Source organism: Homo sapiens, chromosome 12 (genome assembly GCF_000001405.40).
Source record: "Homo sapiens chromosome 12, GRCh38.p14 Primary Assembly".
Taxonomy (NCBI): Eukaryota; Metazoa; Chordata; class Mammalia; order Primates; family Hominidae; genus Homo; species Homo sapiens.
In genome coordinates this window covers 15,105,351-15,117,596 of record NC_000012.12, presented here as the reverse complement: position 1 = coordinate 15,117,596, position 12,246 = coordinate 15,105,351, and the positions used below count along the sequence as shown (strand labels likewise).

At 36.2% G+C, this 12,246-nt stretch overlaps 1 protein-coding gene and 1 long non-coding RNA gene across 5 annotated transcripts in view; both read left to right on the top strand.

Annotated features, from left to right (window-relative positions):
• RERG (RAS like estrogen regulated growth inhibitor) overlaps window positions 1-9,814 on the top strand; it is a 113,635-nt gene extending 103,821 nt beyond the window's left edge. For 3 of the 4 annotated variants that reach the window (NM_001190726.2, NM_032918.3, XM_047429797.1), the window contains 2 exons: window positions 6,180-6,253; window positions 8,080-9,814. In NM_001190726.2, coding sequence (NP_001177655.1) covers window positions 6,180-6,253; window positions 8,080-8,487 — 482 coding nt within the window. In that variant the 3' untranslated portion in view covers window positions 8,488-9,814. Of the gene's footprint in view, window positions 1-6,179; window positions 6,254-8,047 lie in introns of all 4 variants that reach the window. The other variant, XM_047429798.1, reaches the window with a different exon arrangement.
• Window positions 2,976-5,234, top strand: RERG-IT1 (RERG intronic transcript 1). Its single transcript, NR_046560.1, has 2 exons — window positions 2,976-3,092; window positions 5,128-5,234. It is a non-coding gene; the product is annotated as an RERG intronic transcript 1 (long non-coding RNA).
• Window positions 9,815-12,246: the final 2,432 nt, after the last annotated feature.

Here is a 12,246-nt window from a genome sequence, read left to right as displayed (position 1 = left end):
GAGGCACTGTGTTTGAATCTGCTTAGTTTTCTAAGCAGATGAGGATGGGAATGAGGAGACGTTAGACCCACTAGTTCTTTGGTTCTGTGATTGGTTCTTCTTGCCTGCCTTACAACTCCTGCTGCTTGGAATCGTTCATACGAAAATAGATACACCCAGAACAAATTATCTTAACCAGATTCTAAAGCAGAAGTGCTTAGCCAACTCATAGAATTATTTAATTATTTAATATTGGCACTGCAAGGAGCTTAGAGATTGTCATTTGACAAATAAGGAAACAGGTACCAAGAAGTAAATTTAATCAAAATTACATGTCCAGTTGTGGTTAGACTAGGAGTAGAACTCAACTCAGTACAATTTCCATTGTGGCATAAATCAACATAACTAACTGCTGCTGTTACTGTGCTGGCTAAGTGTCCATACTAAAGTGTTGAAATTCGCAAAAAAAAAAAAAGCTAAATCAGTAAAAAGATTAACCACATGCAATATCCCTTTGAGCACCAACTCCTCTTTGACTACATAAAATATGCTTCTAGTTATTAAACTACTAGTGAGTGCAGATTTTAAATTATACATCTCTCACAGTGAAATTGAAGTGTAACTTTTAATGCCTCATTCCATTTTGAAACTCATATTTTTCTTACAGTATACTATATTTTGGTTCACTTGGAACTATCTCCTAAATAATCATCCCCCCACCCTTCACCAAAAAAGGCTCAATTTATTATTTTTGTTTAGTATGAACGAAATCAAAAGCAAATCCACCAAACAAACACATACACATTTTCTTTTATGTATTAAGATGCATAGTGGAGTCTAATTTCAAAAACTACTTAGTACATTTTTTTAGAGTTAACTCTGGAAAAGTTAGCACGTAGATGCACAACACTTTACCTTTTCGGGCAATACTTCCATTGTTTTACACGTAGAGAAAATGGGCTTCTAATGAGAGAGAGAAGCTTAAAGAAAAAAAAATGCTTAAAATGGTATGAACCCAGTATTCACCTTAGACAAAATCACGCTACCACACGCTGCTATGTCTGGGGCAGACATTCTCTCATTTCCTGCATTTTATCCTTTTTGTTTCAGTTAACAAATAGCCAAAGAATCACACAACTTCATATAATTTTTATTATATTCCATTTCCCTCCTACTGTGGCATTCTGTAATTGAAATACATACCCTATTTATCATGGAAGCAACACAGAAAAATGTCCCTGTCTCTCAGACAACTTTTAGTGCAAAGAGATGGAATAGAGCCCAGAACTCTGTTTTCCAGTCTCTGGGGCTGATGCCAGTCTTTTCAAAAGGGAAGTCGGTACAAAGGACACTAAAGAACAGCAGAGGGAGAAGCCAAAGGGCATGGCTCCCCAGCATGCGTGATGCAGAATGGGCTGCTCTTCCTCACGCTGCAGCACTGAAGATGAAAAAAGAAAATCGTTGGGAGAACACTTGGAGACAAGTGGCTGCTGTAAATAGTATTTTAGAGCATTAAATCATACAAAACTATAATCTCCAATTTAACATAAAAGAGTAGGGGGATGGAATATTCTGAAATTGCGAATCACTGTGCATACACCATGTATAGATTACATATTCTAGGAGAATGACAATAACATAAAATACACTTATTAAAATATTGAACATAATCTAATTTTTAAATTTTACTTTTTGGAAAATACTTGAGCAATGTGCCGTGCTTATGGCAATGATCACTACACAGTACTGATGGAAGTAGAAGGCAAGGATATGGCTGGCGAAGCTGCATTCTACAGTTTGTATTTTGGACAGGAGATTATATTTACAGTAAAGTAACAGAAAACAGCGGTCAAAAAAGGACTGCAAAATAGTTGATGAAATGAAAGTCAGAAACATGAGGTAGATAGAAAAAATAATTACAAAACCACCGGCTTACAGGCTACCCCCATGACAACAGAAACTTCTGAGTTTATTGTGTTGGTTGGTTGGTTGGTTGGTTGGTTAATGATTTGGGTAGTTTGGGTACAAAGAATTGAGTTAATAATCATATTAATCATACCGCTCTGTTTCATGGTGTTATGCTATTATTAGTGTGTGGGAGGCCTTATATTATTCCTCTTTCTTTTCCCTTTCATCCCTTATTTTGACACCCACTGCCTTCCTCTTTCCTTTAAGTGCAGAGTCTAATGTGTTTGAAACTAAGCATGGTATTTACAAGCCTGAACTCCAAAGCTGGTCTTCCCTGACTCAAATCTCGCCTCTACCATTTATTATCTGTGTGACCTTGGGCAAGTTATTTAATCTTGTTACAGCTCAGTTTCCTCTTGTAAAATGGAGCTAATAGCAATATATACTTCATTGGATATTTGTGAGGATTAATGAGTTAACATAAGTGTTTAGAACAGTTGTTCAAATAGAAGCAGTATGCGCTAGCTATTATTATATATTTACTTAGGAAAAATAGTGTTCTGTGTATATATATTTTAAATTTAAATAACTTTTATATATTTATATATATACACTTCTAATCATTATAACCAAATCTGGTATTTTTAAGATCCATGCATTTTTCCATATTTACTTCTAGTCTTCTACACGGTATTCTTTACTATGCCACATTTAACTAATCTCCCCAATGATAAACACCTAAGTTGCCTCTAATATGAGCTACTGCTAACATCACTGGGGAAAACATACCTTTAAATTGGTGGTTCTCAAACTTTAGCATGCACCGTAATCACCTGGGGGACTTGTGAGAACACAGATTGCCCATAGGTCTGGGGTGGAGCCTGAGAATTTGCATTTCTAACAAGTTCCTAGGTGAGCCAGATGTTACTGGTTCAGGCACTACACTTTGAGACCCAGTGCTGTAAGAACCTGGACCAGGTTTTTTCTAGTGCATGTACCTGAGAGGGAGATTGCTGAATCATAAGGTACGCCCACACCGAACACTAGTGAATTGCTCTTCAAAATGATGTACCACAGTCTACACTCTCATTGTCGGTGTAGAGAAGCTGCCTGTAACCTAGTCAGGCATTATATTACCTAGCTTTATAACTTTATAATTTTTGCCAATCTTATGGTCATAAAATCATCTTATAAGCTTCTCTCTGGTAAGTAAGCAGGTAGAACATCATTTGATATATGTTTTTGCTAATTGGGCATCCTCCTATGTGAATTTCTTCTTTGTATACTTTGGCCGTATTTCTTTCCTGTTCACTTATCTTTTTAATTTCTAAAATTTCTTTCATACTTTAGATATTAATCAACTTTTTGCTTATCATGTTTCAAATATGTTCTCCAGTCTTTAGCCTATTTAATATTGCACAAAATTCTTAATTTTAATGTAGTCAACCCTTTTATTTTTTATCTCATTTTTTTTGGTCTGTGCATGAGCTTTTATATTTTCTTACTTTTAATTTTTTTAACTTCAGGTTTCACTCTTCAAATCTAGATGAGTTTAGATCTCTAATTCATCCAGATTTACTTTTAATATATGCCCTAGAAGCCCAACTTTATTTTGTGCATTTAGTGGCCAATTCTTTTCTTATTGGTTCTAATCCAAATGCTACTGATTGAACCATTCATTATTTCCCTAAGTGACTTGTGGTGCCACCTCAGTCATATACTAAGTTCCTATATAAATATGAGTCTATTGTTAAGGCCTTGGTAAATTTGTGCATTCTGATATTAGTACCACACTGTTTGGAGTAATGTTATATAGTATTATATAATTTTAAATAAGTTTCTTGAGCGTCTCAAAAAGTCCAGCTGGACATTTCATTTGAATTGCATTAAATTCTAGATTGATTTTGTGGAAAACTGACATGTTTTTAAAGATGTTGTTTCTCCATTTTCCTAGGATTTTCTTATGTATTCAAGTCTTCATTTTCTGTTACAAACTTCTAAAATTTTCTATTCTAGAAAATTTTTGTTTTTGTTTTTGGAGGGTTTTGAATGGTTTTGTTCATTTTTATTACTTCCTAAATATTATTTATTTTACTACTATTGGAAGTAGTTTCCTGTTTTCTCTTACCTTTCCTACATGGCTTTTGCTGATACAGAAGAATGCTAGTGATACTGTATTTTTCTGCAGAACTTATGAGTTTGAAATTATTGCTTATAAACTTCGTATTATTTTATTTTTATTTCAGCAGAATGTACAATTTCTTCTTTTAATGCCAAGTTTTAATTGCATTGTCTCTCTTAATTTAATGGCAGTATTGTCAGATCTTTATAGCTCTGCCCTCTTTTTATATCTTTTCAAACACCATGCTTTGGTTTTGTTTTCTTTTTCATGATGTTTTTTCTTTTATTTCTTTTCTTATATTATCTTGAATTTATTCTGTTTCTTCTCTTCTAATTTATTGAGTTGAATACCTAGTTCACTTTTTCTAGATTTTTAAGAGTTATAACATCTTCTGGAATCAGACAAGTACATTAGTTCACATAAACTTGCTTCTGGCCTTTTCCCCCATCTTCACCCTGATATACTGATAGAATCATCTAGAATTGTAATGCCAGGATTGATGTTGATGTAGTGTTATTGTTTTGATGGACGTCTTGAATTCAGTTTCACTGGCAAAAAGTCCTACATCAGTCTGAGTCATATCTTTTTGTAGGTGATGTGCTTTATTCTCTAAATCCCTTTAGACTTCTTCCTCATTGATATCCTTAAATTTTGTCATAATAGGTTTAGATATAGAGCTTTTTCCTCATGCGTCCTGCTAGTTCCTTTGATCTTAAATCTTTCATTGTTCCCTCACGTTGAGAAATTCTCAGTCATTACAACCTCAATAATTTCCACTCCTCTATGTATTTTATTCTCTCCTTTGAGGCTCATTTTATAAAGGATACTAAGATTTCTTGTTCTATTATCCATACCTTTTATTAAATTTTACTTTTACATGTTCCTTTGTTTTACTTACTTACACTTACTGACACTTCTGGGAGAGTTCCTCAACCTAACTCTCATCAGGTCAATCATTCATTCATTCGGTTCTTTATTTCTGTTGTTCTAGTTTTCATACAGAGAAGCACCAGTTGGCACTTATTTTTGACCCGTGGTTTCCATTTTATGTGAAGAGGGGCATACTCAGGGCCACCCAGTCTTCTTGCACCTGCTAACTTCTCCTTCCCCTCACATAGCTTGGTGACCACTCTGCTGTTGATCCACCAACCTCCAGCTGGTACTGAGCATCTGCCATTTTTCTGCTTTGAAGAGGCAGCATAAGCAAGAGGACTCCATATAGTTCCACCTCCCCTCCATGCTGCCCAGCCCTCCCCTACTTTGGATTACTGTTCCTCACCAACCAGCCAGTACTGGGGTCTGACCACCTTTTACTACCCCTAGAGTTTCTCGTAGTTTTACATCATTTGGCAAGAACCATTCACTTCCTGGTAATATCTCTTACATTTCCAGAGCTGAGGTTTGAAAGGAAATTAGTAGCTTCTGTTGGTATGTTATCTTGTTAGAAACAGCAGTTTCCAAAAACTCGATTTTTAGAAGGACCAAGGCAGAATGCATTTTGTGAAAATCACCTTCTCAATTTACATTGTTGAGGTCTCATTATAGAAGGAAAAGAGCACCAGGGAGCTGGCTTTTCAGAAAAATAAAATGGAATCTTCAGAGGAAAGGATAGGGCCAGGCACGGTGGCTGAGGCCTGTAATCTCAGCACTTTGGGAGGCCAAGGCAGGCGGATCACTTAAGGTCAGGAGTTCAAGTCCAGCCTGGCCAACATGGTGAAACCTTGTCTCCACTAAAAATACAAAAATTAGCTGGGTGTTGTGGAAGGCACCTGTAATCCCAGCTACTTGGGAGGCTGAGACAAGAGAATCACTTGAAACCCGGGTTTCAGTGAGCTGATATTGCACCACTGCACTCCAGCCTGTGCAACAGAGCTAGACCCTGTCAAAAAAAAAAAAAAAAAGGAAAGTATAGGGTAGCAAAGATGCAAAGAGATTCCCCCTATTCTACATTCTGAAAGTCGGTGACACCCATGTTAGAACTTGGTATGTCCAGGAGCTAAGAATGAAGATTCTACATTTTTGCACATCTCTCCTCTCTTTCCTAGACTACACAGTTCCTTATGCTGTAAAATCAGGAATACTTCTCCCATGCCCATTTTCAGTTTTAAGGATCAAATTAAATCTTGCATTTATTTATCTTTTTGTCTTTTTTATTTGCTCATTCCCTTAGAATCAACCTACCGACACCAAGCAACCATCGATGATGAAGTTGTTTCCATGGAGATACTAGACACTGCTGGTCAGGTGAATAAAGAGTTCAGCTAAAATATTTTTCTGGATCAAATAAAACTGAGAAATCTATGCTATGAACAAAAATAAGGCACTTTTCTTCAACTAACTTTTGCATGCCTAAAACCTTTTTCTCTAATTAACTAGCCATTTTATATATTAACATATTTGTAAATATCTGTATATTCATCCTTATATAAACTGCCCAGTGTTTCAAGGGGGTTTTGAAAATACTATAATATTCACATATCATCTAGGTTAGACTCTCTCACCTATATTTTGTGGCATAGCAAGATATTAATAAGTTTTCATGGTCAAATGTGTTTTGAAATGCTCAAATGAAGTTAAACAGGTGTCTTTACTGAAAGAATTCTCAGAGCCTCTAACAGGCTTGTGTGTGAGTCTTTAAGAAAGAGATTTAGTATATATTGTATTCTAAACTCACATGATGTCATATAAGTTTGTTTCAGAATACTTCATTTTAGATGTCTTTCTTGTAATATTTGGTATTAGGTCGGTCACTTCTGAGATTAAAAAGGGTTCATAGATAGGTTTAGTTTCCAGGTACAGAAATGACCACTGGCTGGGCACGGTGGCTCACACCTGTAATCCCAGCACTTTGGGAGGCCAAGGCTGGCAGATCACAAGGACAGGAGATCGAGACCATCCTGGCTAACATGGTGAAATCCCGTCTCTACTAAAAATACAAAAAATTAGCCAGGCATGGTGGTGGGCGCCTGTAGTCCCAGCTGCTGGGGAGGCTGAGGCAGGAGAACGGTGTGAACCCGGGAGGCGGAGCTTGCAGCGAGCCAAGATCGCGCCACTGCACTCCAGCCTGGGCGACAGAGTGAGACTCCGTCTCAGTAAAAAAAAAAAAAAAAAAAAAAAAAAAAAAGAAAAAAATGGCCACTGGAATGACAGAAAGCTAAAGTTTTCCATGGTACTTTATCAATTACCTGTGACCCCCAAAAAGACTTGAATCAAAGTGTTTAAACCCAGAAAGGTTCTTGAAATGAATTACCCACTTTTCCACTTTTCCATCTCATCACCACCTACTTATTCTCTGACCTTCACAGAGCACTGATTCCGAAGAGAGGCAGCAGGGAGGTGCATGCCTCCAGAAGTCATTTGAACCCGGGAAAGCAATGTTTTTTCAAATCATGCTTGCCACTTTGCTATGAAGGAGTGATAACCCACTTTGAGAATCCCTTCAATAGAGTTTCTGTCATTGGTACTACACGACATTTTGGGGGCTCTGAGATAGGAAAAGAAAAAAAAAGCCAAATCCTTTAGCATAGAGTTGGATTCTCTAAATAGTTTGTCACAGTTTTTCTGGAGTCTAATTGTCTATAATCTGAAGAAAGAGAAAATTAAAACAAACAACAAACCAAAAAAATAATAAATAAACCAAAATGCATCTTGCTAAATTTTGACTCTAATTCTGATACTTAAAAGGTGGAATAGGGGCTACTTGTCTGTTAGAAAATTGCTAAGTCCTTAATTGTGATGAAAAGTCTCAAAAGTGATGTGCTCAACTAAGATTATAATTTCTTTTTAGTTTTTATGATTACAGATTTAATGATATGGCAAGAAAAAAATTAAAAGCAGAAATTTAAAATCTATTAAATTAGAAAATATTCAGTTCCCTGAAATATGTTGAGATGGATAAGTCATGACTGTATTTAAAATTATTTAGAAAGTTTGTACAATTAGAGTACCACGACATTTTAATGACTTTGGATATAAAGAATAGTAATTAAGGCATTACTGTCAGCATTACCAGCATCCATATATTTTGATTATTTCCAGGTCTCTTGACGGCCATTTTTCTTTGCCAACAGGAAGATACCATTCAGAGGGAGGGGCACATGCGATGGGGGGAAGGCTTTGTGCTGGTCTACGACATTACTGACCGAGGAAGTTTTGAGGAAGTGCTGCCACTTAAGAACATCCTAGATGAGATCAAAAAGCCCAAGAATGTGACTCTCATCTTGGTTGGAAACAAAGCTGACTTGGACCACTCCAGGCAGGTTAGCACAGAAGAAGGAGAGAAGCTGGCCACAGAATTGGCTTGTGCTTTTTACGAGTGCTCTGCCTGCACTGGAGAAGGGAACATCACAGAGATATTCTATGAATTGTGTCGAGAGGTGCGTCGCCGGAGGATGGTGCAGGGCAAGACGAGGCGACGCAGCTCCACCACGCATGTCAAGCAAGCCATTAACAAGATGCTCACCAAAATCAGTAGTTAGGCAGCCCAGCTGAGGTGGACCAACTAATTGGAAACACTCTTCCCCTTCTGTTCCCCTTTCAAAAATAAAACAAAATATTGCATTCTTTGTTTGGATTCTGAGAAATGTCTGGGCTTCCCATTGTTTCTGGCCTCTAATAGGTTGGGAAGTTTTAGCGTGTTTTATGCAATTTCAGTGCTAACAATTTCTTCCTTTCCTGCTTGAATAAGATACACTCTAATGGCATTTGAACATGTAATCACCAGAGATTCTGAAATGACTGGTTTATGTTAAGCTATTTTTAGGCATCTTCACCTTGCTTTAAGTAGGTTGAAGTTTTTGCAAAGGCATTTAAAAATTCAATTTCTTGTCAGATACTACAAATAATTTTCTTAAAAGTCTAAGATAGCAGAAAATACAGTAAAAACACAGGAGAAGAAGCTGAGCTATTGGAACAGGAAATAGAAGGAACTCTAGTTTCTGTTTGAAGTGAGGATTTTCTGAATTATCTAATATCATCTAGGTTTTCTTTAAAATTTTATTTTGTTCTTCAGTTCAAGCATCTTCTCACTAATGTTTTTCACTATAACAGAGAATTCATTTCAATTTGAGTTGGTTCTCTCAATGATCTATTGATCATTACACCCTAACTCTCCTTCCTTGGCTCAAACAATATTTTCCCTATAACAAAGGCAATAGGACACAAAATTCACATCCTGCTGGGCCTTTTTTCATCAAGTCAGGGTGATATAAAAACATTGGAAGTCTTTTCACCAAACCCTGACTTTATTGAATGCTAGTAGAAGATGTAGAATTAGAGACATCTGATTTGTTTATCACCTTAGCAGAAAAACCACAGTCCAAAAGACAAGCAAATTAAGAATGGAGCTTAACCATGCCTCCATTGGGAAGTCTAGACTTTGAGCCAGGTACAGTAAGAAAAATTAGCCTCTGATTCATTAAGTTTGCCACATGACTTATTTTGATATTTTGGATACATTAACTCACTTAGGAGAATTCAGAAAAGAATGGGTGATTAAAGTTCATTACAGCTGAATAAATGTGTCTAAAACAGACTCTTGTATTCTGAAAGTACAGTCTACAACTGATAAAACCTTATGATTCTTTTCTCCCCCATTATGCCCCTATATATATCAAGATTTGGGTACTTTATTTTAGTAGAAAATATATATCTTTTACATATGTATGTATTTATAAATGCATAGATATATGTATAAAAATTTGTAAGCGTTAGCGGCATTAATTCACCAATGCATTTGGACAACTTGATGTAACTGACTTTATTTTATGTGACTATAATAAAAAGCATAATTTTCTCATTCTGTCATATTTGGGTAATCTTTCTTGTGATAACATGAAACATTTATAATTTGAAGGGAGACTCAAGGGGACAACTGAATTGCAAAATTGACAAATCAGTGAGCCTGATATAAAAAAATTAGCTCCTGTTGATTAAACTAGCTGCTTTTGGAGTCTTTAGGTGCTATTTTAGGTACTTTATGTATTATCAAATCTTCACAATCACTCTGTGCAAGACTAGTACTGTAAGCACAATTGTAGAGATAAATATATTGAGTCACAAGGGGGAAAATGTAGTAAAGCCAATTTTGCATAGCTATTTAGTGTGTAGAACCAGGATTTGAACCCAAAGAGTCAAAAAGTTGGATTCCAGACCTCGCATTTTTAACCATTATATACTTCTTATCCTTGAGCTGTAGTGGGGAAGATACTGAAGCAGATAATTCACTTTAACTATGTTTTTGTTCACTCACTACAAATCTTTATACATGTTGGACAAGTAACTTGATACAAATTAGTCTATTTGATGGTGTCTGATCTGAGCCTTAAAGTATACACGAGAGTTATCCAAGAAAGAAATATGGTAAAGATATTCTAGGCAAAGGAAATAGCATGGAATCAAAATATAGAGACATGAACAGTGATATTAAGTGTGGTCATGTAAAGGAGTTTAGACGGGCAGGAGGGAAGAAAGAAAGTCAAAAATTCCTATTCCTGCAAGCAACTACCTACTAAAGAATCAAATTGGTAAACTTAGCTATGATTCATTTTCAATAAAGTCTTTTTAGACAATGTAGGGGACATGGAAGCAGATAAAAATTATTTTTGAAATTTTGTTATCTTCTAGAATTAGTCACTTTGATTCTCTCATATCTATACTTGGAAATATAGTTCAACCAATTCCTATTAAAAGTAAGCTAATAAGGAAGCATAATGAAATACGTGGATGTCATTCTTGAGTCAAAAAACTAAGTTAAACACAGAGTCACCAACACCAGAAACTACCCTAGATATGTGAATACAAATCCAGACATTAAAAACCAAACAACCACTGGCATAAGTTTCAACCACTAATTACAGAAGAGCATGAGACTGTATAAATATAAATTGGTGATTTCTCTCATGCCCCAGGCTTCTCCTCAAATATAAGATTATAAATAAGTTAATACTATTAGTTGTTTAGAAGCTGAGCTTCATTTTTATGAATGCCGAGGAAGAAAGGTTCACTTTGTAAAAAGTAGAGACAGTGTTTTATTTTCTGTATTAAAAGCATAACATCACTTGGCCATTATGGAGTAACAGGGACCAGATTTACTCTTACATATTAAACAACCAGAAAAAACGTCAGATAAAATATGCAGAACAATGGTTTTCAGATATTGAACAACAAGCAATACAGTGCATTGATCCCTAAAAGGAGGGAAAGAAATGATGTAAACCCTATGAATGCTTCAGCTTACTGCCAAGTGACAGGTTCCAAGAAGCAATACAGTTAAAAATAAAAAGGAAAGAAAGAGAGAGAAAGAAATGAAAGAAAGAGAAAAAAAGAAGAAAGAAAGAGGAAGGAAAGAAGGAAGGAAGGAGAAAGAAAAAAAGAAAAAAGAAAGAAAAGAGAAAGAAGAAAGAAAGAAAAGAGAAAGAGAGAAAGGAAGGAAAGAGAAAAAGAAAGAAAAGAAAGAAAAACAAGAAAGAAAAAGAAAGAAAAGAAAGAAAGGAAAGCCTGGGCATGGTGGCTCATGCCTGTAATCCCAGCGCTTTGGGAGGACAAGGCAGGTGAATCACTTGAGCCCAAGAGTTCAAGACTAGCCTAGGCAACATGACAAAACCCCGTCTCTACTAGAAACACAAAAATTAGCTGGGCATGGTGGTGCATACCTGTAATCCCAGCTACTGCTGAGGCTGAGGCAGGAGAATCGCTTGAGCCCAGGAGGCTGAGATTGCAGTTAGCCCAGATCATGCCACTACACTCCAGCCTGGGTGACAGAGTGAGACTCTGTCAAACAAACAAACAACAACAACAACAACAAAACACCGCAGAACTTGGTTGTCTCATTGAGTTGAATAGACAAAAATCAGAACTGGGGGAGGTCAAGTTTATAAGAATCTGTGGGAAAGAATGTCTGAAAAAAGGAAACTTAACAGAGAGAAAATTCCGCAGATGTACAAAAGAGTTCCTTTCAGTGTTTGGCTTAGTATGGATCACATGGTAAGAGGATGCTACCCATGGATGAAGCAAGAAGTGCAGAAAAGCAGTAGGTCAAATTTTGGGGGGATCATAAATAAGGCTGAGAATAGTTTGTACTATTGAAAATACCATGTAATATAGAAGTAATAAACAGGATCTTAGACACTGTGTTTATACACAGGACATTAGGACATTGTGTGAATTGTGAGTCTAAATTAGCGCCAGACCAGGATGCTAAGTAACTGCTCTAACACAGCATAAAAGGCAGCCTGAAA